Genomic DNA, 24,493 nt, shown 5'->3' on the forward strand with positions numbered 1-24,493 from the left:
TGGATGAGTAAATGAGGGTGGTGGGTTAGGCATACAATGGAGTGGTGAGACACCCCCCTCAACACACACACCTACTTTGCAAAAGGGATCGCTCCTGCACAGCTAGAAAGTGTGCCAGCACAGTCAGGTCTCCCAATATTTCCATGAAACCTAGGAATTCAGAACTTTATGTAAAAATCTCCTTATTTTAGAACAGTGGTAACTCACTAAAAATAGTGGTACACAAAACATGAATCGGTGCTGCCAGTTTGTGGCTTATGGGGTTAAGAAATGCTGATGGTACTCTGTCAGAGATTACAGCCCTGGGTTAGGAGGCCTCAGTTTCCACAGACTTCCAATGCCACCATGAGGGAGGGGGGCGGCCCAGCTAGGGAGCAAACCTGGGCAAGCACTCGAGCTCCTTAGAGTGGACACCGAGCTCTGCCCAAATCCCCAAAAGCCTCCTGGGAACAGCTGCTTAGGCATGCTGGTGGCTCTGCTCCTGGCTGAGCCCATCTCAGAGCCTTACCCTCAGCCAAGAGACACTTCACACACTGACACCCCCCACCCTGGGGTGGCCACATCTAATGGTCAATGTTGGGGGCCGGTAGAAAAGCCTGGATTCTTCACCCCAATTTGGAACATCTCTGAATGATCACAGCAGTGCCAGGGCTCCCAGGGGATCAACAGAGGCCTTTGCTATGACTGCATCACCGCCCATCTCCTTCTCTGCCCCATCCTGAGTCCCTCTCTCCCTACAGAGGCTGGTTCTGCATACAAATATCCACCCCAGAGCCTACCTCCCAGGACACCCAACGGTGACACCCTCTAAACCCTCATGTTCTCATGAGTCCTATGGAGAGATTCACCCACTTTACCATGCCTTTGAGAGTGTAAGGAGATGGCACAGGCAGGCAGCCTAGATGGGAGTGTGCCATGCGTGTGGGAGGTGCTCAGTGACTCCTTGCTGAACATCATGGACCGAGAGCTTAGAAGAAGGCAAGAAATATGTGGCGATAGTTCCTAACCACCTGGAGTTCACTCCCCTAAACCAGAGCTTCTCACCCTTGGCACTGTTGACATTCTGGGCCGGATAATTGTTTGTTGCAGGGCAGGAGGGGCCTGTCCTCTGGGCTACAGGGTGTTTAACAGCCTCTACCCACTAGATGCCAGTAGCAACCCCCAATTGTGAAAACCAAAAATGTTTCTAGACACTGCCAAATGTCCCCTGAGAAACAAAATTGCCCCTGGCTAAGCAGCGCTGCCCTAAATCATTAAAGTTCCCTGAGCCACCTCTGAGAGAGAGTCACGGTTTGGGGCCAAAAGTCAATCAGGGGCCCTTCCTAGGCCCCTCCACAGGGAACAGGGAATCTCAAGTAAGGCCAAGGGGAAACGTGAGAAACGTGGGGCAATGGCAACAGCCCACGCACGGGGGTGGGGACGCTGCTTCAAACCCCAGCCACGCATCCTGCAACCCGCACAGGCCGGTCCCCTTCTCCCAGCCTCAGCGTCCTGAGATGGGAAATGGAGACAGCAATTCCATTCCTTCGACCTGCCAGGGAAGTTTCCCCAAACAATGGCTTGGTGCGTGTGCGTGTGAGAGTGTTCTGACAGCAGTAAACGTACTGTGCAGAAGTACAATGGGGTTGGCTCCCACAAACAACCATCTTACCCAAATTCAGCTAAGTGAGTGCAGACAAAGAGAAGGAGAGAGAAATAGGCAGGCAGAGGCGCATTTATTGACCCTGTCACTGTTCCCTCATCCCCATCGCCCCAGGGACAGGGAAGGCACAGCTAAAATGCCCAAGAGACAAACAAACAAACAAAATAAGTGAAATTCTCAGAACCCATCAGGTCCTAATGATTCACAGGATTTTTGAAGGTAAATTTTACTACAGAAGATGTTGCTGTATTGGGCAATTATCCAAGCCTTGAGTAGGGATATGACTGAGTTTTGTTTTTTACTCCAAAAGCAGTGAATAAAAAGCATTTCAAAGAAAGTAATGCCAACTTGACAAACCCATTCCACCAGCAGTGGGCAGCAGAAACAGGAGGAAAAAGAAAGTTTGCCTCTGAAACACCTGGTAGATGTAGACCCGGGCCTCCGCCTCCTCTCCACTGCCCGCCCTCCATCCTGCCCTCCCCGGAACAGACGGAAGCAGCGAGATCCTGAAATAGCCTCGCTCTCAGCGGTGAGACAGGAAGCCACCAGCCCCAGGCCTGAAAGCCATCATGCAGTTGACACAGGGACCCCGCTGATGCCGCGTCATTTACCTTCGGGGGACTCGCAGCCGCCCCCGCAGCCTGGGTTGGCAGGCCGGTGGAGGTCGGCCAGAGGCGTGCTCCCTGGGGCCATCCCAGGGAAGGCCCAATGATCACTTGCTCCAGAGCAAGTGGCTTCTTCCCCACTACCCTTCTCTGAAACCCCACACTCTGGTTCTTCCATCCCAGACCCAGAGGCTTGATTTACCCCATAAACAGTGTGGGGTCTATAGATTCTTTTCGGGGGCCATTAAACATGCTTGAGATCTAAAAAGAAAAAAATAATAATAATTGTGACTGTAAAATACAAGAATAAAACTGAAAAATCAAAATTACTAACAAGTTCAAAACCACAATTCTAAAACCCTTTTCACTTTTTAAGCAAAATAATTGTACAAAACAATTGCATTCTATGTAAGCTGAGTCAATTTTTTTTAGTCTATTGTTGTAGTGTGGAAAAGGTTCTCACACAGATCTTCAGTTGACCCCCCCAAAAAACTTACTCCTTTCACCTCCTAGAGGTAACTTTCTCTTGTCTTCCTGTGTCTAAATGGGACGGTGAGACAGAAAATCTGCAAGTCCGTACAACACCTCTCTTCCTGAATCTGCAGGACAGTCTCTGAGACTCCAGGGCACAGCCACTGTAAAAGCCAGTCTTCTGGAGCTATAGAGAGTTTTAGCACAGATCTGAATTCCTGGATGCATCCAGGAGCTAATTCTAAACGTCTGTCCCCCCAGCCCAAGATGTCAGTCACCTGTTTCATCTCTGCAAGTTTAATGGAAGATGCCAGGCTAGGAGTTAGGGGTGGGGGTTCTTAGACAAGCCTGGCCCTCTTTCTTATAGAAAGCGGAAATGCCATCGTTCTGCTCCAATGTCACCACCAAAAGTAGAGAAAAACAGGACAGACTGAGAGGGCCATTTTCATTAAGAAATAAGAGCTAGAAATAGCACCTTTCACCTGGGTGAAAGAGATCCAGTTCTTTGTGGAAGAGAAAGCTATTCTCACTGATTTCAGATGCAAACAAAGCGTGCCTGTGTCTTCCATCTTGACATCCACTTCCCTCACTTCCCTGACCTACAAGCCCTAAGCTAGGTCCATCCCAGCCCTGCCACTCTGCCCCTTCTCTACTGCCCCTTCTCCTCCAGGAAATCACATGTGGTTGATGGAGGGCAAATGCCTGCCCACTACCTGCCGGGTCCCCCAGTTGGCAGAAATCTTTCTCCACAGTCGGTGGGCAGGGTTGTGTTTATTTTGCAATTAACAAAGAACAAAGGAAGTGGCAGGGCGCTTGGAGGTGGTGCTTCTGGCTTGCTTTTGGGGACCTGAATTCCTGCCTTGCTCTTGGCTCTGTCGGCTCTGGCTCCTGGGGTGGGAGGGGAGTCACTGCCCTCAATCATTTCACAGCAGTCTGTGTCTTTTTTGGCCAGGTCACTAGCTGCAGCAGATGGGCCCTTTACTTTAAAAGAAAAGCAAAGAGCAAAGCTCTGCCCAAATGGGGCCCAGGGCGTGCTCAGGTCTGAGGTGATGAGTAAAGGTATCCCCCTTTACTCATTGATTGTGTCATTGAGGGACCAGCGGACCAAGAAATTCCCTGCCATGCGAGTGTCGGAGAACAGCCCCTTTGTCACGCCCTCTTCAAAGCGTGACCCGTGTCCCCGTGCACTACATTGGGATGAGACAGACCCCTGCTAACAAAAACAGGGAGATTTGGGGGTGCTTAGGGGGTGTTGAGATAGCAGATAGGGCTCCAAGTTACCTACGGTAAACAAAGCAAATTATATTTACTTCCATGGGAGCCTGAGATTTTGACAGCAAAGAGAGACTTATGGTAGAGTTGTTGCTGCATTTATATTTAATAAATTTAAGAGAGAGATGAAATAGACTTTAGCAAGGCTAGTGAAATATTTATAAAAGCACACCGAAGCCGTGTAAGGGAGAGAGAGGGAAATAAAACAGCTCGCATGTGGGATCAAATCGAGCAAGCCAGCTTTTAACCTGACAGCTCCCTGTGCACTGCGGGCAAGAGAGCTGCCAATGGGCCACAGATGCACCACACCTGAGCTAGCCGGGAAGACAGGGAGGTGTAGGGAGGGGAGGACGGGGTGCAGACGGGTGTGTGTGCACAGGCACAGCCAGCTCCATGCAATCCAGGGCATCTGTCACACCTGTCCAGCTGCTCAGGTGCGCCTGGCACCTTACAATGCCAAGCAGAGCACATTCCCCCACCCCTGGCCTACATCCAGTTAAGCCTATGGTCTGGTAGGAACATATGGGGCTCCTGGAGTTGGGGGGCCTTAGACAGTGGGGGCTGAACACCCTGGGCTTCCATCTCTTAGGAGAGCCTGTCTGTCTTCAAGCCACTGTCCGAAAAAGGTCTAGTCTTGGGATGATGAGATTGAAGGGAAATGCATTAGATTTGTTAACTTGCAGATTTATAACATTTTTTAAATGCACAAGTACTACATATTCATAGTGGAAAGATAAAAAAGAAAAACAACAGATAAATTAACAAACATGCAAACCCCATCACCTATATGCTCAATCACTGTTGGCGTTTCCAGACTGGCTGCACATCTTTTATCAAGGGTGATTTTAATATTATGCAGGATCATTTCAGAGCAAGCTCTACTCACTACTGACATGTTACAGAATGTGCTGCTCTTTGTGCATCTCGTCCTTACCCTCAGATCAGGGCCTTTCTCTCTTTTCCTGTCCTGATCCAAAACTAAATTTATCTTGGAGACCCATCTCAGTCCTGTCTCTCCAAAAAGACACTCACAAGACTTGTGCTTCCCTCCCCGTTTGTTTCTCCCTCCCTGCAGCCCCCATGTCATCTTTTAAGTCACCATGTTCATTCTTAGACTGTCTTGCTTGTTGGCCGTGCTGTGTGTTGACCTTTCTTGTCTTCCTATCCTCATGGAAGTTCCTGCATGATCTTTTATTTCTCTCTCTGCTTTCATCGAACATCCCCAGTACAGCTTAGGCCCACTGTGGGCTCAAGACAACACCCAACACCGCCTATAAGCACATCTTCTGGCTTCTGTAGAGTGCCGTGAATGACTTCTGTCCTCCCTTAGGGATTGCGATGACACTTGTCCTCCCAAGTGGCTAGAGAACAGGGCCTGAAATGGGGAGGTGGGAGACAGGAAGAGAAGTGGAAAACTGCTTTGCAGAAATCCCTTTGCCAAAAGCCAATCTAGAAATTCAGTTCACCAAATGACTGGCTGACCAGGCTACTGTGGGGTATTTTGGAAAGTTTTTGTTCTCTCACCCCAGTCTCTGCCCCTACCTCTGCCGTTCTCATGCAAATACACAAGTTGTCCCAAAACTCTGCCTCTGCACCTGGCTTTTGGACTTACAGTGGCTCCAGAGGACTCTGCTGGATGGAGGCTAAGATGTGTGTCTGATAGTTCACTCAGCAAAGGGGACTCTGCTCAACAAGTTTTCTGCACATTGGCTTCGTGAATTGACCTAGTTCCCCTCCTGGGTTGGAGTGTTGACTCTTCTGTCTTCTCATCCTCATGGAAAAACCTGCATGGTCCTTTATTTCTCTTTCTCTCTCTCTCTCTCTCTCTCTCTCTGTCCCTCTCTCCCTCTTTTTTCCCTCTCTGAGGGAGGCTCGGGGGCCCATCTCCCTGGCCCCTAAGGCCTCCACCTCCAGCATCTGGCCTTGTGGACCTGGGATCCTGACACCTTCTCCTTCTTCCAGCTGACAGCCTCCTTTCTGCAGTCCCTGAGCCCTGACATACAGGATCTGGCTCATTTGAACAACTGCAAGGAGGGGCTGAGTGTTACAGGCACCTACAAGAGGCAGAAAAACAAGATAGAATTGGGCCAGGCCTGGACACTGTCTGAAGCTCCCTGGAGACTTCTGAATGAGGCATAGAACACAGGGTAGGATAATCAGCTTCCTTCCTGTCTCCCACCTCCCCATTTCATGCCCTATTCCCCAGCCAAGCCAAGACGCCCTGTTCCTTCTCACGTCTAGGCCTTTGCAGAAGCTGTGACCTCTGCCTGGAGCACCTCCACTCCTCTCTCCCTCTCTGCTTTCTACTTTTGTTAACAGCTCTAGTGAGACTCTATTTACACACAATAAATTGCACACTTTTAAAATGTTCAATGTGACAAGTTTTGACATATGTATACACCCATGAAACCATCACCAAAATCAAGGTGGGAAACCTGTCCATCACCACCAAAGTTTCCTCCTGGCTCGGTAATCCCTCCCACTCACCTCTTGTCCCCATAGCTAAGCAACCACTGATGGGCTTTCTATGCAGATTAATTTGCAGTTTCTAGCGTTTTATGTATATTGAACCATATGCTATGCACTCTTTTTATCCCTGAAATGCTTCTTTCACTAAGCATTTATTTTGAGATCCATCCACATTCTTGTGTGTATCAGTAGCTCATGCCTTTCTTTTGCTAAGTGATATTCCATTGTATGAATGCCATGCAATTTGCTTATCCATGAATATGTAGGTTGTTGACAGTTTGTAGCCATTAAAAATAAAGCTGCTATGAATACTCATGTACAAGTTTTTGGATGTACACCTGCTTTAATTCAACTTAATAAATACCCTAGGAGTGGCATGGTTGGATTGTACGACAGGTGTATGTTCAAATTTCAAAGAAACCACCAAACTGTTTTCAAATCAGCAGAATAAAAGAGTTCTAGTTTTTCCACACCATGACCAACAATTGGTCTGTCTCGTTAATCTTAACCAGTCTAATAGATGATCCGTGGTAGCTAGCTCCTAGTGATATGAATTTGCATTTCTCTAATGGCTAAAGATGTTGAGCAGCTTTTCATGTGTTTATTGCCATCCATGTATCTTCTTTGGTGAAGTCTCTGTTCAAATCATTTGCCATTTTCCATTGTTTTGTGTTCTTATTATTGAATTTTGAAAGGTCTTTATATATTCTAGAAACAAACCTGTTACCAAATATATGGTTGAGAATATTTTATCAAATTCTGTGGTTTGTCCTTTCATTCTTCTAGTGGCAGCTTCTAAAGAGCATCAGTTTTTCATTTTAATGTAAATGTATCTTTAAAATGTAAATTTTAAAGTCTAACGTATCTTTTTTTTTTCTTTTAGGAGTCATGATTTTTGTGTTCTCTCTAAGAAACTTTTGCCCAATCCAAAGTCACAAAAGCTTCCTCCTGTTTTCTTAAAGAATTTGTATGGCTTTATATTTTACATTTAGGCTTATGATACATTTTGTGTCAAAGTCTGTATGTGTAAGGTATAAATCAGAGTTGACTTATTTTGTGTATTGACATCCGTTGTTTCAACACTATTTGTTGAAATGACTATCTTTTCTCACTGAATCACCTTTGCACCTTTGTCAAAAGTCAGTTGTCCACATGTAGAGACAGAGCTCTATTTCTGGGTTCTCTATTCTGTTCTATTCATCTCTTTCTCCGTCTTTACTCCAGTACTACAGGCTCTTGATTACTATGGCCTTATTCTCAGTCTCAAAATCAGATAACATTGGTCCCAACTTTGTCTTTTTCAAAATTGTTTTGGCTATTCTAGCTCCCTTTACATTTCCAAATCAATTTGAGAATCTTCAAAATAGCCTACAGGAATTTTGATTAGGGTTGCTCTGAATCTGTAGATAAATTTGGGAAGAACTGACATCTTAAAAATATTGAGTTTTCTGACCCATGAACAAGGCATGTCTCTATTTATTTAGATCTTCCTTAATTTCTCTCAGCATTGTTTTAGAGTTTCCAGTGTACAGATCTTACACGTCTCTTCTCAGACTTATCTCTAAGTGTTTCATGGTTTTTGATGCTACGGTAAGTGGTATTTAAAATTTTAAGTTCTGATGGCTCCTTGTTAGTGTATAAAAATACAACTGATTATGTATATTGATCTTGTATTCTGTAACCCTGCTAAATATCTTCATTAGTCCTAGTGGCTGTTTTATAGGTGTCATCAGATTTTCTATATAGACGATCATGTTATCTGCAAATGCAAACGTTTTTACTTCTTTCTCTCTTTCTTTGTCTTCCCCCTATTTCACTGGCTAGCGCCTCTAGTACAATATTGAATAGAAGCAGTGAGAGACGACATTCTTGACTTGTTCCTTAAGAGAAATACGTTCAATTTTTCATTATGTATGATGTTACCTGTAGGTTTTTCCAGTTAAAGAAGTTTTCTTCTATTCCTAATTTGTTGAGATTTTTTAAAAAATCATCAATGGGTATTGAATTTCATTGAATGTTTTTTTCTGTGGCTATTAAAGTGATCATACCATTTTTTCCCTAGTTTATGAATAAAATGAATTGCACTGATCAATTTCCTAATACTAAACCACCTTGGTCATGATATGTTATCCTTTGTATATGTCACTGAATTCAATTTCCTAAAATTTTACTTAGATTTTTTGCATCTATGTGCATAAAGGATATTGGTCTGTAGTTCCCTTTTCTTGTAATGGCTTTGTCTGGTTTTGAAGACAGGATAATTCAGGCCTTATAGGATGAGATGGAAATATTCCCTCTTCTTCAGTTTCCTGGAAGAGTTTGTGTGTAGTTGGTATTATTGCTTTTTTAAATGTTTGACAGAATTCACAAGTGAAGCCACCTTGGCCTAGGGCTTACTTTATCAGAAAGTTTTTAATTACAAATTCAATTATTTTAATAAACATGGAGCCATTCAGGTTTTCTGTTTCTTCTTGGATGAGATTTGGTAGTTTGCAATGTTCAAGGATTTTGTCCATTTCATCTAAGATAGAGAGATGTTCATAATACTCCCTTATTATCCTTTTAATATCTATATATTATGTAATGTTGTCAACTATCTCATTGTTGATATTTGGTCCTTTTTTTTTGAGATGGAATCTCACTCTGTTGTCCAGGCTGGAGTGCAGTAGCACAATCTCGGCTCACTACAACCTCTGCCTCCCAGTTTCGAGTGATTCTTCTGTTTCAGCCTCCCAAGTAGCTGGGATTACAGGCACCCACCACCATGCCCAGCGAATTTTTGTATTTTTAGCAGAGATGGGGTTTCACCATGTTAGCCAGGCTTGTCTCGAACTCCTGACCTCAAGTGATCTGCCCGCCTCAGCCTCCCAAAGTGCTGGGATTATAGACATGAGCCACCATGCCCAGCTGATATTTGGTAATTTCTGTCTTCCCTTTTTCTTGATCAGTCTGACTAGAGGCTTACTATTTTTATTGATCTTCTAAAAGAACTAGCTTTTGGTTTTATTGTTTTTCTGTTCTCTATATGCTCTATTTCATTAGTCTACTCTGATCTTTATTTTCTTTATTCTGCTTATCTTGAGCTTAATTTGCTCTTGTATTTTCTAGTTTTTTTAAGGCAAAAGATGAGATAACTGATTTGAGAGCTTTATTCCTTTCTAATGTCAGAATTCAGTATTATAAATTTCCGTGTCAGCACTGCTTTAGAGATATCTCACAAATCTTGAAATAATGTATTATCACTTCCACTCAGTTAAAAATACTCTCTTTCAGTCGGGTGCGGTGGCTCACGCCTGTAATCCCAGCACTTTGGGAGGCTGAGACAGGCAGATCACTTGAGGTCAAGAGTTCGAGACCAGCCTGGCCAATACAGTGAAACCCTGTCTCTACTAAAAATACAAAAATTAGCCAGGCATGGTGGTGCACGCCTCCTTGTCCCAGCTACTTTGGTTCCCCCTCCTTGCCCCAGCTACTCAGGAGGCTGAGACAGGAGAATCACTTGAACCTAGGAGGTGGAGGTTGCAGTGAGCTCAGATCGCACCATTGCGCTCCAGCCTGGGTGTCTCAGCGAGACCCTCTCTCAAAAAAAAAAAAAAAAAAAAAAAAATATATATATATATATATATACACATACATATATATATATATATACACATATATATAAAAGAAATCAAAAGGGGAAAAGAGAGTGTATATATATATATATATATATACACACACACATATATATATACACATATATGTGTGTATATATATATATGTGTGTGTATATATATATATATATATATACACTCTCTTTTCCCCTTTTGATTTCTTTTTTGAACCATAGCTTATATAGAAAGTGTCACTTTGTTTCCAAATATTTGGAGTCTTTCCAAAGATCTTTCTGTTATTCATTTCTAATGTAATTTCGTTACGGTCAGAGAACATACTCTATGGTTTAAATCCTTTTAAATTTATTAAGGCTCATTTTATGGCCAATAATACGGTCTATCTTGGCCAAAGTGTATTCCGTGTGTACTTACAAAGAATGTGTATTCTGCTATTGTTGGGTGGAATGTTATATAAGTGTCAATTTGGTCAAGTTGGTTAATAGAGTTGTTTAAGTCTTCTATACTCCTATTGATTTTCTGTCTATTAATTATTGAGAGGGGGTATTAAGATCTCTGTCCATAATTGCAGGTTTGTCTATTTCTCTTGCAGTCTTATTATTTTTTCCTTCATTATTTGAAGCTCTGTTAACAGGTATATAAAAATTTAGAATTGTCATATCCTCCCAATGTACTGACCCCTTTAGTTTTATAAAATGACCTTTTTACCCTAGTAATATTCTTTGGTCTGAAATCTACCTTATCTACTTTCTTTTGATGACTGTTAGCATGTTATACCTTTTTCCATCCTTTTACTTTTAACCCTATTTGTGTATTTCCATTTAAAACGGAGTCCTTAAGCTTTTGTGTGTCTGAACAAATCTTTATTTTGCTTCATTTTTGAAAAATATTTTCACTAGGAATAGAATTCTGGTTTGACAGTTCTTTGATACTTAAACTTGATGTGCCACCATTTTCTGCATGTTTTTGTGTTTGGAGTTCATTGAGCTTCTTGGATCTGTGGGTTTATGGGTCTCATAAAGTTTGGAAAAATTTTGGCCTCTATTCCTGCCCTGTTCGTTTTGGGCCACCCCAATTCCATGTATATTAGACCACTGAATGTTGTGCCATGGCTCACGTATACTCTTTCAATGTATTTTTTAAAATTATGTTTGCTCTCTTTATTTCATGTTGGATAGTTTCTATGGCTATGTCTTCAAGTTCGCCAGGCTTTTCCTCTGCAATGTGTCATCTCCTATTAATTCCATGCAGTGCACTTTTCAGTCTCAGACACCGTAGTCTTCATTTTTAGTAGTCTGATTGCATCTTTTTCATGTTTTCTCTATTTCTAATTAACTTCTTGAACATACAGGATACAATCATAAGATCTGTTTTAATGACCTTGTCTGCTAAGTCTAACATTTACATCAGTTCTGGATCAGTTTTGATGGAATGATTTTCCTCTTCATCATGGGTCATATTCTCCCACTTCTTTGCACAGCTGGTAATTTGTAAATGGATGCCAGACATAATGAATTTTACCTTTCTAGGTGATGGGCACGTTTGTATTCCTATAAATATTCTTGAGCTTTGTTCTGGATGCAGTTAAAGCACTTGGAGACAGTTTCATCCTTTGGGGTCTTATTTTCTAGATTTGCCAGGTGGGGCCAGAATAGGGCTCAGTCTAAGGCTAATCATTTCCCACTACTGAGGCAAGAGTTTCCTGAGGGCCCTACTCGATCCCTGTGAATTATTAGGTCCTCTAGTCTGGCTGGCCGGAACAGGCACTATTCTTTGTGTGAGCACCAGATACTCTTCACTCTGATCCTCTGAATGATTAATTCCCAAGCTCCAGATAGTTCCCTCACATGCACATGCTGACTGATTTTCTGCCGAATACTTGAGCAGAATCTCCAGAGCTCTTTCTGAGTGCAGCTCTTTCCTCTTAGACCTTCCTGCCTGCAGACTCTCACCACCTTGGTCCTGACTCTCAGCTCTGTCCCCTCAACTCAGGAGGCCTGCCAGTCTTCCTCTTTGGTTCCCCCTCCTTGTGCCATGGCTCAGAAGCCCTCTCAAGGCAGTAAGCTGGTGCAATCACAGGGCTCGCATCATTTGCCTCTCTTCTCTCAGGGAACACTGTCCTGTATTCCTTAATGTCCAGTGTCTTACAAACCACCGTTTCATACATTTTGTCCAGTTTTTTCAGGCAGAAGGGTAAATATGGCTCTTGTTACTCCATCTTGGCTGGAAGTAGAAGTTCCCTCACTAATAGCTCATAAATCTTCACAATTCAGCCCACGTGTCACCTCCTCCAGGAAGCCTTCCCTCATGGCCTACAGACCAGGTTAAGTGTTCCTGCTATGGACCCCCCACAGCCATAATGCTTCATCTATCACAGTTCTTATTCATCTATATTGTTATTGCTTATTTATTTGTCCACCTCCTCAACTAGACTAAAGGTTCCTAAACATAGGGGTCTGTGTTTTGTTCACTAGACTCTGTCTGGCACATAATAAGTGCTTGACTAATGCTGACAATTTTGAACACGTCTTTTAGCTCCAGAAGATTAAAACAACGTTATCAGGGTTTTTCCCCCTGTGTACAGTCAAATACTGGGGACAGGGAAGTTTCATCTAGAAAGGTAGGGGTGTAAGGGGCACCTGCACCCCCTGGGGCAGCATGCTAACTCACCTATTTGTGTCTTCAAGACCCCAGAAATCACAGCTGGTAGGTGGTCAAGCAGCAGTGCTCTGGGGCGATTCTGAGGTAAGGATTGCAGGCAGAACCAGGGAGGAAGTTAAACAAGGGCTGGGCTTCCTGAGGATGCAGGGAGCTTCCCGGTCTCATAGTGAAAATCCTGTGGCTATGCAGCCATGTCATCCCCGTTTCCCCCCAGACATCAGGGTTCCCAAAGTCTCAAGGTTTTGTGGAGGGCCCCCAGCCTAGGTAGTTAGGGAGTAAAGCAAGTTTGCCAAATGACGGGATTTCAAATAATATTCAAGTCTATATTTGGTGAGGGGAAAAAAACTCACTCTTTTCCAAAGAATGAAAGGTTCCCCCACCCTCCCCTTCCTTTCTCTTCAATGATGGCATTTCCATAAGAGAAACTGCTTGATAGGCCTGTTCCCTTTAAATTATTTTCTAACGATCCAGGCAGTCATACGCACCGGCTGCCTCTCCTTGGCTCACCTTTCCTTTCAATTACTTTCGTTCTTCAGCTGAACAATGGCAGCGTCGCAGCCCCTCCTGGCTGGGACTGCTACCACTCAGCGCCTCTGCGGCCAGGTGGCCAGGCTGGGCTCCGGCTTTGTTCCCCTGGCCAGACGGCCGTCGTTTCATCTTCCTGTCTCCCCTTTCTGTGCCATTTAAACTTTAACCTGGTAGTAACTTTGCCCGCCTTGATTCCCGATTCAAAGGCTGGCAGATGAAAAGCCCTCCCCTTGGATGTGGCTTGAAAACTTCATCCTCAGTCTCTCTCTGTCTTTGAACTGCCTTGGAGCCTTTTTGCTCAGGCTGTTTTATTCTCCCTGGGACTCTAGCTTTTAGGCCTGGGGGCTTAGGAAAAACAGCAATAGGGGCTTCGCAGTTGGGGCCCTGGAGGACCCCCAAGTTCCCCTGAGGTGGGCAACTCAGGTGCCCCCAACACACACACCATCCCACCCCAGGGGCCTGGGATCTGTAGCCCAGGAGATCGTCTCTGGCCTTCAGGGCCAGTCCCCTGCCTCCACGCAGCCCTCCCCCATTCCGGCTTCCCTTCACAAGCCCCAGACCCACAGCAACTTCAAGGCTTCTAGCCCCAGGTGGGTCTTCCAGAAACTTTTTCCTTTTCAATGCCAGGCAGACCACTCACTGCTCTCAGATGTCGGGCAAGGCACAATGGGAGAATTCTGCAATCACAGAAAAATTCAGGAAGTCAAGACCAAATGGGACAGTGGGGAAAATAAACCACGGAGAGGGTTAGAAGTAAACTCAAAAGCAGACACAACTTTTCCTCCTCCTCCTCCTCCTCCTCCTCCAAGCAGGCCCCATATGACCAGGCCAGGCAGCACTGCCAAAGTCTCATGTGGCCCTGCTGTGTTGGATCCTCAGCTATGCTGGCGTTTGTCTACCAAGAGTAGTCTGTGTGCCACCCTTGTCTCTGCTGACAGAGGTAACGAATACTGAAGCGAGTTAAATGGTGGCCCTCAAAAAAATATGTCCCCATTCTAACTCCTGGAATCTGTGAATGTTACCTTATACGGAAAAGGTGTAATTATTTAAGGATCCTGAGATCATCCTGGGCTAAATTCAATGACAAGTATCCTTATAAGAGACAAACAGCGAAGAGACACAAAGACAGAGGCAGAGATTAGAGGGATGTGGCCATGAGCCAAAGAACACCTGGTGCCACCAGAAGCTGGAAGAGGCAAGGACCAGATTGTCCCCGAGGCTTCAGAGGGAGTGCAGCCTCACGGATACCTTGATTTTGGATTTCTGGGCTTCTGTTACTTTAAGCCAGCAAGCTAGTGACAATTTACCTTCAGGAAACTAATGTAAGTATGCAAAGTGCGGACAGGAGTTGCTATGGTCCTCACCGGAACCTGGTGCTGGGTGATGGCTCAGCCCCTCCCCACCCTGAGGACAGGCTCCCGCAAGTCTCAGCCTATCACAGTTGTCCCAGGACCCTTACCAGTGATTGGCTTAAGGGTGGGCATGTGACCCCATTTTAGCCAATGAGAGGGAAGGGGATGGTGTCCTGGGGAAAAATGGCTCCTCTTCCTTCCTAGAGTGTGACCATCTCTACCTGTGCGCCCACACGGCTGGCCTGAACATGAGGGTGAGAGGGAGCAATGGAAAGGCCTGCAGAAGGTGGGGCAGGAACAGGTTATGATGCAAGCCAGAGCCTAATCTCAACTGCAAACTTCCCACCAACGTAGAATATAGGAAAATGCTTCCTAAAGATGAAACTCTGATTCAAGACACTGGGGTCCCTGAAGGGACAACCTGGGCCTGAATCATGTCTCCTGATAGAAACAGAATATATCCGGGTATTGGGAGTGGAAGGAGCAGGACAGGGCCACCAGGAGTCTCCCAGCATGACGGGTTGGGAAGCCCCCTGGAATAGAGTGCCTTCTAAAGGGAAAGCCGGGAACACCAGCTTAGCTTTAACAAAGGTCTGAGCTCGGGGCAGGGAAAGGCCAGGACTCTAGTGTCTGGCAGGTATAGATTTGTCTCCTGACCACACCTCCTGGATTCATGCTCCAAGTCCTTGGGAGTGAGAAGAGCTTCTCTACAAAAATTGAAATTTTGGTTTTCATCAAAATTCAAAAGACAGTGAGACCAAGTAGCCTCGCCATGGGGGCCACTAACAGAGAGCAGCAGTGATGGGAAGCCCACTGCAGCTCCAAAGTTTGGGAGTGTCAGCCCACCAGCACTGGGGGCGAGGTGCTCAGAGACCACTGTAGGGTCAGCGGGGAGGACGGCCCAAAGGAGACAGCCAGACCCGGAGGGCCCAAGGCGTGGCTAGCTGACATCATGGTGCCTGAAACAGGTGCGGGATCCAGCAGAGCATGGGGACAGGAGCCAGGGGACCCCAACAACTGCTTAGGCAGCAGACATAGGTGCCCCTTGGTAGCTGACAGACATGTTTGCGAGTCTACAGGAGGCAAGCCTGGAGTAACCCCAAAATAATTGGGTGACAGTTTGAGGGGGTTTCTGGGAGTCTTGCAATATTTAGTGAAAGCAAAACCACACAAATATATGTCACTGCTGTGGATGCCCCCTCTGTGGCCCTAGGTTGGTGTGGCCAGGCAGACGGAGGTTGCTTTGATGGCAGTTCAGTCCCCAGCTACTCCTTTGAACCACCCCGTGGTTGCCAACCCTGGAGTACCTCAGAGCCACGTCACCTGGGGGCCTGTGAGAGACAACGAGGCCCAGGCCCCACCCCCACCAGTGAAATCAGGAGCTCTAGGCAGAACCCACGCTCCTATTTGTTCAAAGCTGCCCAGGAGATGCCACACAGCCAGGGTTGACACCCACTCTGTTCTGGTGCCCTCTGTCCACCTCAGCGGGAGGCGGGACAGAATCTCAACCTGCTTCCCAACCAGGGACTGTCAGCTTCTCCAGCTCTAATGTGGGATGTTGGGCTCAGCAGCTTCCCAGGACCCATCTGGCTCTGCTGCATCGTGAAGAGTTGGAGAGCATGAGACTTCTCCAAACTGAGAAAGAGAAAGAACGCTGGGGAGAGGGAGGCAGGAAGAGGGTGGCAGGGACAGGGACTGCAGAACCCCGTCCTCCCAGCTTGCATCACAGCCACTGCCCATGCCCTCCTCTCTGCCAAGGCTGAGTCCTCTGCAATGCCCAGGCCTTGGATGGGAGGGTGGGGATAGAGTGGTGGGATGTCCCCCACCAGGGGGAGGAGTTGCCCCTAGCATGCCCATGCAGGAGCTCAGAAACCGCTAATGGGCCTGCATGGTCATTAAGCAGAGGACATACCTGCTCATGGTGCCATCTAAACCCCATTTAACTCATCATTTAAATTTACTAACAGATGTAAATCCCCCTCAATGAGAGAGAGATGGGCCATCAGCACCCTGCTTCTGACACACTCCAAGGAGGCTGGGCTTTAATTTCAGGGCGGACGACCTTCTGGAGAGCTCTGGGCCCTGTAATGGCCATTTGCAGGAGATGATGACAGGCAAAATGGAGGGCAGGCAGCCTTGATGCTCTCCCTGTGAGAGGCATCCCCCATCGAGAGTCTCCCTTCCACCCCACGAAGGTCTCAGTGCCCTTCACCAACCTCCCCCAAGGCCTCCCCCATGCATGGCAGCAGCCCTAGGCTCAGCAGGCTTCCTGGTCCCAGGGCAGTGATGGTGACATCCAGCCCCCTGGAGTAGAATCTGTCTTTTCCCCACGAGAGAAGTGGGGGTCCTTGGGATGCCTGGGAGCCCCTGAGCTGTGCCCCAAGATGCTTGCTCCCTGAGGGACTCAAGGGGCTCAAGGCGCCACTCAGGCAGGGCTTGAAGAAGGAGCCATTTGCAAGCTGCAGCATTGCTTGTCGGTTGAGGTGGAGCCACTGGCCATTTTGGAACGGTCTTCTCTGTTCAGGAAAGGGCCTTTGCTTTAGTGGGCACAAGTTAGGTGAGTGAGCCACCATGGCTATGGGAAGGATGTGGCCCCAACTTTGGGAACCTGACAGGGGCTAACCCCATCCATCTGCACTGTCTACTTGCCATGCTGTGACACAACTGCCCTGGGGCCAAGAAGCCTCAAGGGGAGAGAATTGACACTTGCCTTCTTTCCCAAAGCAGTGACTCCCGGCTGGAAGGGACCCCGAGGACAGCAAATACCGAGAGGAGGCTCACCGCAAAGAAAGGGGAAGTACAAACTGTCCAAATGGCTAGGAGGGGAGGACGTTGGTTCTGACACAGCCTGGGACCTACTCCTGACCCAGACGTGTGGCTCGGAGGATGGGTTTCAGGAAGCCTGGCTGAGGGTGAGCACAGGAGGGTGAGCACAGGAGGCCGAGGCAGCTGGCTTGCTTGAGCCCAGGAGTTAGAGACCAGCTTGGGGCAACGTAGCAAGACCCCGTCTCTACAAAAAAATTCAAAAATTAATCAGGCATGGTGATGCATCTTTGCAATCCCAGCTACTCAGGAGACTGAGGCAGGAGGGTCACCTGAGCCCAGGGAGGCCAAGGCTGCAATGAGTTCTGATCATGCCATTGCACTCCAGCCTGGGTGAGTTAGTGAAACCCTGTCTCAAAAAACAAAAAACAAAACCAAAAAAACGCTGGAACCAGAGGAGACCAAACAAGTGCAAAGGAAAGTAGGAACACCCTTCTTTACAGAGCCTCTTACACCTGCTGGGGCTGGAGCAGCCACAGCCGCAGCCTTAGCAGACAGGGACACAAGTCGTCCACGGCACCAGGGGCAGCGGCCCGGGAGCCTGGGCAACCTGTTACCACCATTAGTCCTGCTCATTACCTCTCACCCTCCACTAGAGACCCGTGAAGACAGGTGTCTTGTCCTGTTCACTTCTGTCTCCCCAACACCTAGTACATAATTAATAATTCATAGCTTTGTATCAAACAATGAACAAATGATACATCTGAAACCCATTTAATGTGCAGACACACCTTGTTATCCACGTGCATCTCCCACTCTGGATTTTCCACAGCAAACACCTCCTCCTCCTGGCTCCTAGCCCGCTCCTGGGCCATCCCACCCTCGCTTTCTGTGAGCTCAAGGATTACAAACTAATCCTAATATATTTGCCTGAGCAGAACCTAATTAGGAAGGTAAATCTGCAAAAAATAAAAGGTAAAACAAAATAAAAACCCAAGGAGAGTGGCCTCTAACCCCTGGAGCAGAAGGAAAGGTGGTTTGGGCTTCCTTGTTCTATAGTGTCCCTCTCTCAGCCCAAATAAGGGGAAAAGCCTTCTCTCTCCAACAGGCAAGGCCAAAGGGAAAAGCAGAGGGGGGGTTTGTAAAAAAGGCAGCTGCACCTGCAATCCCACCATGGAAGTGGCCTTGGGGGTACATTTTACCTATCTTCCTGCTTCCAGGGCTTAGAATTTCAGATCCACCAGAGACTCCAGCAAATGGTTAGATATTTTTATTGCAAGGTAACTGAAAACCCAATTCCAAGTGGCTTAAGAAAAAAAAAAAGGCAGGTATGTGTGTATGTATGTGAGCGTGTGCAGACAAGCAGAATTTGTTGGTGCATGTAACCAAGAAGTCCAGGGGTAGGTAGAAGTGGCAAAATACAGCGACTTGAACAAATTACTTACTCCCCATCTCTCCTCCATATCTTACAGGCAGACTGTCTCCAAACAGTGTCTCTGCCAGCAACCAACCTCGACCCTCCCCACTCCACGGCCAATGGTCAAGAGTACCTTTTCTAGTCCAAGGAGCAAAAGTCCCAGACTAGCAGTGATTGGGCCTGATTGGCTCCTCTTCGGCCACATGGGCATCCATGAGCCAATCATATGGTCAGAGGGACTTACTACTTGAATGGGTCAGCTCTCGGTCACACGTTCTTCCCCTGGGAGCAGGGTAGTGTTCATCCACCTGCTGCCCAAGGATGGCAAGTAAGAGAGTGTGTGGCTCCTAAAGGAAGATGAACAAACAGAACGTGCTTGCTCCAATAAAGGGAAATGGAGGCTGCATGACAAAGAGGAGATGTCCACCATAAAACTGAATAGTGAGAAGGACAGGGGAAGTTTTAAAGTTCTATGGGCAGGCCAAACAATGGCCTGGAGATGGGAAAAGAATGACATGTGTTGAGTAGGACTGGTGGAGCTGGGCTGATGAGGGAGGAGCGTTCCAAAACTTAGATCCTCAGTCTCAGAGTGTAGCCATCATGGGCACATGGCCTGAGGTGCTCCAGGGCCCCGTGGTGCTGTGGAGTCCTGAAGGGCCTGGGCTGGCTGTGGAAAGAAGTATCTGAAAATCCTTGCTTTGGGGGACACCAAAATGATGTGTTAGCCTATGTCTGCTTTCTAGGGTAAATAAAGGTACACACACACACACACACACACACACAAACTAGCAAAAGAGAAGAGGAAGCAGCAGAAACATCAATCATAGGGCTGAAGCTGGAGCTGAGGAGCTGCTCTGTCTCCAAATCCATATCTACTTTGGGTTTTCTGAGGCAGAGGAGCCCACCAAGGAAAGCATCAGAACATAACAGAGAGCTGATCCCAAGGCACTGGGGATTGGCTAAATTGTGGGGCAGCCCAACCCGGGGCAACTCTGAAGGGATGAGTTTCCAAGGATCAGACATAATTCAGTCCAGGGGCATTTAGTAGGCATCTAGCGTGTGCAGGCCCATGGGCTGTGTAGTACAGAGTGAACAGTCAAGAGAAGTGCCATACGGCCTCTGAACCTTGAGCCAGGCTCATCACAGGACATCCTCACTCTGCCTGCATCAGCTTGTCAGTGGACCTCTGCAAGGGCAGAGATGCCTCTCATTCCTCTGGGAGGTCTCCTTGAGTCTGCACACAGCAGTTACTCAATATTTGCATCTGTTGACAAATAAGTGAATGAATGAGTTCCTCAACAAAAATGGACATGATATAAAGGAAGTTGCCATTTATTGAGAACTATTTATATGCCAAGTAGTCAAGAATGCTCAGTGATCATCTATGGTCAGGTTTATTGAGTGCCCACAGTGTTCCCATGCTAGAAATACACAGTGCATTTCTAGCCACTCTCAAGAACTTATGCTATAGAAGGTATCACCACCTCCATCTTCAAATGAAGGAAACTGAGGCTCAGAGGGATTAAGGAGAATGCTCATGGTTGCACAAATATGAAATGGAAAAGCTAGCACCTGCCAAAAATTAGATTAAAATATAAATCTCTTTGATTCTAAAGACAGACCAACCCAGCACTTGCTCCATTATTAAGTGAAATAAAAATCAAATTCACTTATACAGGCACTGAAGAAGGCCAGGTTAATTCTTATTTGGGTTGGGGAGGTAAAGGTATCCCAAAGTGGGTGGCATTGAGCTGAACCTGAAGGATGGAGGAGTCTTCCCATATAAGGTAGCATGAGAAGGGTCCCAGGAAGAGGGACCAGTGTCAGCAAAGATCCAGTGTTGCAAAGTTGCCAGGTGAGTTGTGGCACTACTGGGATGGCACTTTGTAAGCAAAGAAAATTCCAGATGGGCTAAGAAGCTGATGAGGCTGGATACAGAGATAATGGCCAGCTCACAGGGGTCTGAGAGCCCAAGGGCTTGTCCTATTATAATAGGTTCTATTTATTAAGTCTTCACTCTGTGCCAGGCACTATGCCAAGCACTTTCCATGTATCATCTTATAGCACTATTACTTATACTATTTGTAAGTACTTATTACTATTATCTTACAGTAAAGTATTACTTTCTCTACTGTACAGATGGGGCAACTGAGGCTTAAAGGGTACAAGTGGCTGCCCTAAGTCATGTGGCTAGAGGCTGGAACTCAGGCAGCCTGCCTGCAACCATGAGGTCTACTGCTGCTGCATGGAGAAGGGGAGGTTTGAGGGAGGCAGGAGGATGAGGACCCTGCCTCTTTCTCCAGCCGCACCAACCCAGCTGGAGGGGAGCTGAAAAGGAGGCTGTCGATTCAAGGCCCGCCCCAATCCCTGAAAAGGGGCCGTCACTTCGTGTGCCCCTTCCAAGCAGACAAGCAGAGCAAGGAGCAGATGGGAAGTTGCCCACCCAGGGACCAGCTCCAAACCTTCCAGAAACCTGCAAACATGAAACAATCATAGATGAGACGAGGCTTGAAAGCCACCATTTTTAAAATAAAAGGAAATCGCATAAAAGCTCTGGCAAAGATGACAAAAAAGAAAAGGAAACTTGTTAAGATCAAAAATGCAGGCAAACCTCAAAAAAGAGGCTTGGGATAAAGGAAGTGGGGGTTTTACCTGGGGGCTTCCAAGGGGGCTTCTAAAGTGGGTGAGGGTGGGGCTGTCCCCAGCCGGGGCTTGGGCGAGCTGGCGCCTCTGTCCTCCACGGGCACCTTTCATGTTACCCCCCTGCCAGGATCGTGAGGCTGGAGGACAGTGTAGAGAGGCTGGACACCCATTAAGTTTTCCAACTTGAAACTCATTCCTTTCCCTTTAAACTCAGGAAACTTGGAGCCCTTTCAAGGCACAGACAGGAATTCAAATGGCGCCCATCTCTGCCTTCTCACCCCTGCACAGGGAGGTCGGGTGCTTTTCTGTCCCTGCCCCGGGAGAAAGTTAATTCTTCACCCAGGTGATGAAGCGCTAGCCTGGTGGGACACCTCTGGCCAGAGTCACATCATCTGCCCCTGATGAAGGAGCTTTAGCAGGGCCTTTCTTGTCCTCAGACCCCTAAGGTGTAGATGGCAAGACAAGGGGCCAGCACAGCTGTAACTTCAAGCAGGCACCCTGTGTGGATTTGCTGAATAACATTTGTAAAGAAGAAATTCGCCATGCCACAGAGCAGAAGGCAGAGGTCAGGGTGCAGGGTAGGAGAAGGGCAGATGGCACCTCCAGGCCTCAAGGCTTAAGGACTCAGAGTGGCCCAGTCCTCCCAGAGGGCCAGGGGGGTCAGCAGGGGTTTGCACAACCTTTGGCTGTGATGGCTGACATGTTTGCTAAGCCCCCCTTTATCTCAGCACAGAGACAAGTCCACAGGGCCCACTGTATGCCAACAGCACCCACTCGGGGCCTAGCCTGTCGTGCAGATCAGGGAGGACCTGGAAGACACAGGTGGGGTGGAGGTGGGGGCCACAGGGACTTGGGGATGTGGCAAACACCTCAGGGCAAACTCGGCCACAAGCACACAGACACAGGGGCCCACACTCACAGGGACCACACAGGCTGGGGCTCTCATCCAGGTCCTGCCTGTCGGCCGGGGATAAGGCACACCTCACCTCACACCTCCCAGCTCAGCTTCCCCAGCCTGGGCAGGGACCAGGCCCTTGCCTTGCCTGCTGTGTGGGACGATGACATGAGGGTCACCCGGGGCTGGTCTGTCATGATGTGCTGGGCTTGCTAAGCCTGGGAAGGGGCCACAAACAGTGCATGTTCTGAGAACTGGGGGAGGGGGAAAGGAGAGAGACAGAGGTGGACAAAAAATTAGAAACGGGCTGGGCATGGTGGCTCACACCTGTAATCCCAGTACTTTGGGAGGCCAAGGTGGGCAGATCACTTGAGGCCAGGAGTTCGAGGCCAGTCCTGGCCAACATGGTGAAACCCTGCCTCTACTAAAAACACAAAAGTTAGCTGGGCGTGGTGTCACACGTCTGTAATCCCAGCTACTTGGGAGGCTGAGGCACGAGAACTGCCTGAACGTGGGAGGTGTAGGTTGCAGTGAGCCAAGACTGCGCCACTGCACTGCAGCCTGGGTGACAGAGTGAGACCCTGTCTCCAACAAAAAAAAAAAAAAAGGGAAGAACTGAGAAAGAGAGCAAGAACCCTGGAAATACGGAGGCAGAGACACACAGTCAACAAGACAAGACAGAGAATCTAAACGGAGACAAAGCAGGAGAGACATAAAGGAGATGCAGTTGTGGGATATCAAAGACGGAGCAGAGACAGAGAGAGAGAGGCAGAGCTAGACAGAGAATCAAAGACGAGAGGAAGACAGAGAGAGGGCACAAGATGTAAAGAGACAAAGGGAAACCAAGACAGAAAGAGACAGGGACAGAGGAACAAGATGGAGACCACAACAACGAAGAGAGAAAGACAAAGAGGTAAGAGTGAGAGCAAGTCCCAGAAACCCAGAGAGAGAGGGAAGGATTCAGACAGAATGCCAAGCCACCTGCTTCACCCCACAATACACACACTCACAGGGACAAAGGTCCAGGGAGCAACAAACACTCACGCTCAGTGCCCGTCCATCCCTCTGTGCCTGCATCCAGTCAAGGGACCCAGGCAGAGCGCTCACTACTTCCAGGGTCATAGAGCACTGGACTGTGAGTCCTGGGCTCCAGTGAGATTGGAAGCAGAAGGCTCTGGGACAAGACTGCCTGGGTGGAAAACCAGCTGAGTGCCCCTTAGCTCAGTCTCTGAGCCTCAGTTTCCTCATCTGTGAAATGGGGTCGCTGTGTGCCTCCCCGGATGTGGTTCAGCACTGGCCGGGCCTCATGAACATGGGCCTTCACCCCCATGGTCTTTGGCGGCCCTTTCTCCTTCTCTTCTCTGTCTCTCCAGTAGGATCCTCTACAGCCCTCACCTGTGCTTGCCAGGAAGCAAGGGAGTCACCAGATCAGCAGCTGTTTCCACTCTGACAGACACCTGCCCACTGCCAGCAACAGCCAAAGGCCTCCAGAGGGGGCCTCACCTCAGTGCACTCTCCCTGGGACCTGTGCCCCTCCGTGCAGGAGACCTCCTCCCCCAAGGACAGCCATCAGTGCAGCCCACGACACACCCCACAGCTCCAGCCCCTCAAAAGCCAGGAACATATATGCCAAAAATCGTACTTCTCCCATTAAAAAAAAAAAGTGGTACATTAACTGGCAGGAGGGAGGGATGGCAAGGTAGGGGGAGAGTGCAGAGCATGTGGGCCTCACTAAACCTTTGAGCTGCTTTCATTCAGGGATTTCAATGCTCCAGTTACAAGAGAGTTGTTAACCTCGTCATTAAAACCTCCGGACCCAAGGCTGACGAAAGGGCCAAGAGGTCAGGATGGCTCAAAAGTACAAGATTCAAAAAGGCGAGGGAGGGCTGCTAAGGGACCTGCAGGGAGATGGTGGCTGCAATGTCATCCCCTCAGAGAGGCCTTCCCTGGCCATGCTCCCCAAGGGGGCCCCCTCCCCTTCTTCTCTGAATGTCACCAAGGTAACGCATGCATTTCATGGCACACCTGGCTTTCTGTCTGCCCTGACAAGATTGCGGGTGGGAACCACATCCGGTTTGTTCAGTCTTGATGCTCTGTGTCTGGCTGTGGAGATGTCCTTGCAGTATTTTCTGAAAGGAAATGTGTGTTAATTCTGGCTAACAGG

At 47.7% G+C, this 24,493-nt stretch overlaps 1 long non-coding RNA gene across 2 annotated transcripts in view, besides 3 other annotated features; it reads right to left on the bottom strand.

Moving 5' to 3' along the window:
- The window catches only part of LOC105371244 (uncharacterized), an 81,768-nt gene extending 67,115 nt beyond the window's left edge, over nt 1-14,653 (bottom strand). Inside the window, exons 1-3 of one of the 2 annotated variants that reach the window (XR_933534.2) lie at nt 14,567-14,653; nt 12,741-13,936; nt 1,976-5,365 (exon numbers count right to left, since the gene is read on the bottom strand). This is a non-coding gene — a long non-coding RNA (uncharacterized LOC105371244). Of the gene's footprint in view, nt 1-1,975; nt 5,366-12,740; nt 13,937-14,566 lie in introns of those variants that run through there. The other variant, XR_001752167.2, reaches the window with a different exon arrangement.
- Nucleotides 1,836-2,783: an enhancer, noted in NCBI's record as "H3K4me1 hESC enhancer chr16:49475185-49476132 (GRCh37/hg19 assembly coordinates)". NCBI's record gives its function as "activates a minimal SCP1, AML or CMV promoter by ChIP-STARR-seq in primed H9 embryonic stem cells {active_cell/tissue: H9 hESC(primed)}" and the evidence as "EXISTENCE:reporter gene assay evidence [ECO:0000049][PMID:30033119]".
- Nucleotides 2,039-2,318: an enhancer, noted in NCBI's record as "active region_10803". NCBI's record gives its function as "activates an Ori minimal core promoter by ATAC-STARR-seq in GM12878 lymphoblastoid cells {active_cell/tissue: GM12878}" and the evidence as "EXISTENCE:reporter gene assay evidence [ECO:0000049][PMID:35858748]".
- Nucleotides 3,840-4,341: an enhancer, noted in NCBI's record as "H3K4me1 hESC enhancer chr16:49477189-49477690 (GRCh37/hg19 assembly coordinates)". NCBI's record gives its function as "activates a minimal SCP1, AML or CMV promoter by ChIP-STARR-seq in naive H9 embryonic stem cells {active_cell/tissue: H9 hESC(naive)}" and the evidence as "EXISTENCE:reporter gene assay evidence [ECO:0000049][PMID:30033119]".
- Nucleotides 14,654-24,493: the final 9,840 nt, after the last annotated feature.

The sequence above is a fragment of the Homo sapiens genome, chromosome 16 (assembly GCF_000001405.40).
Source record: "Homo sapiens chromosome 16, GRCh38.p14 Primary Assembly".
In the NCBI taxonomy this organism is placed as follows: Eukaryota; Metazoa; Chordata; class Mammalia; order Primates; family Hominidae; genus Homo; species Homo sapiens.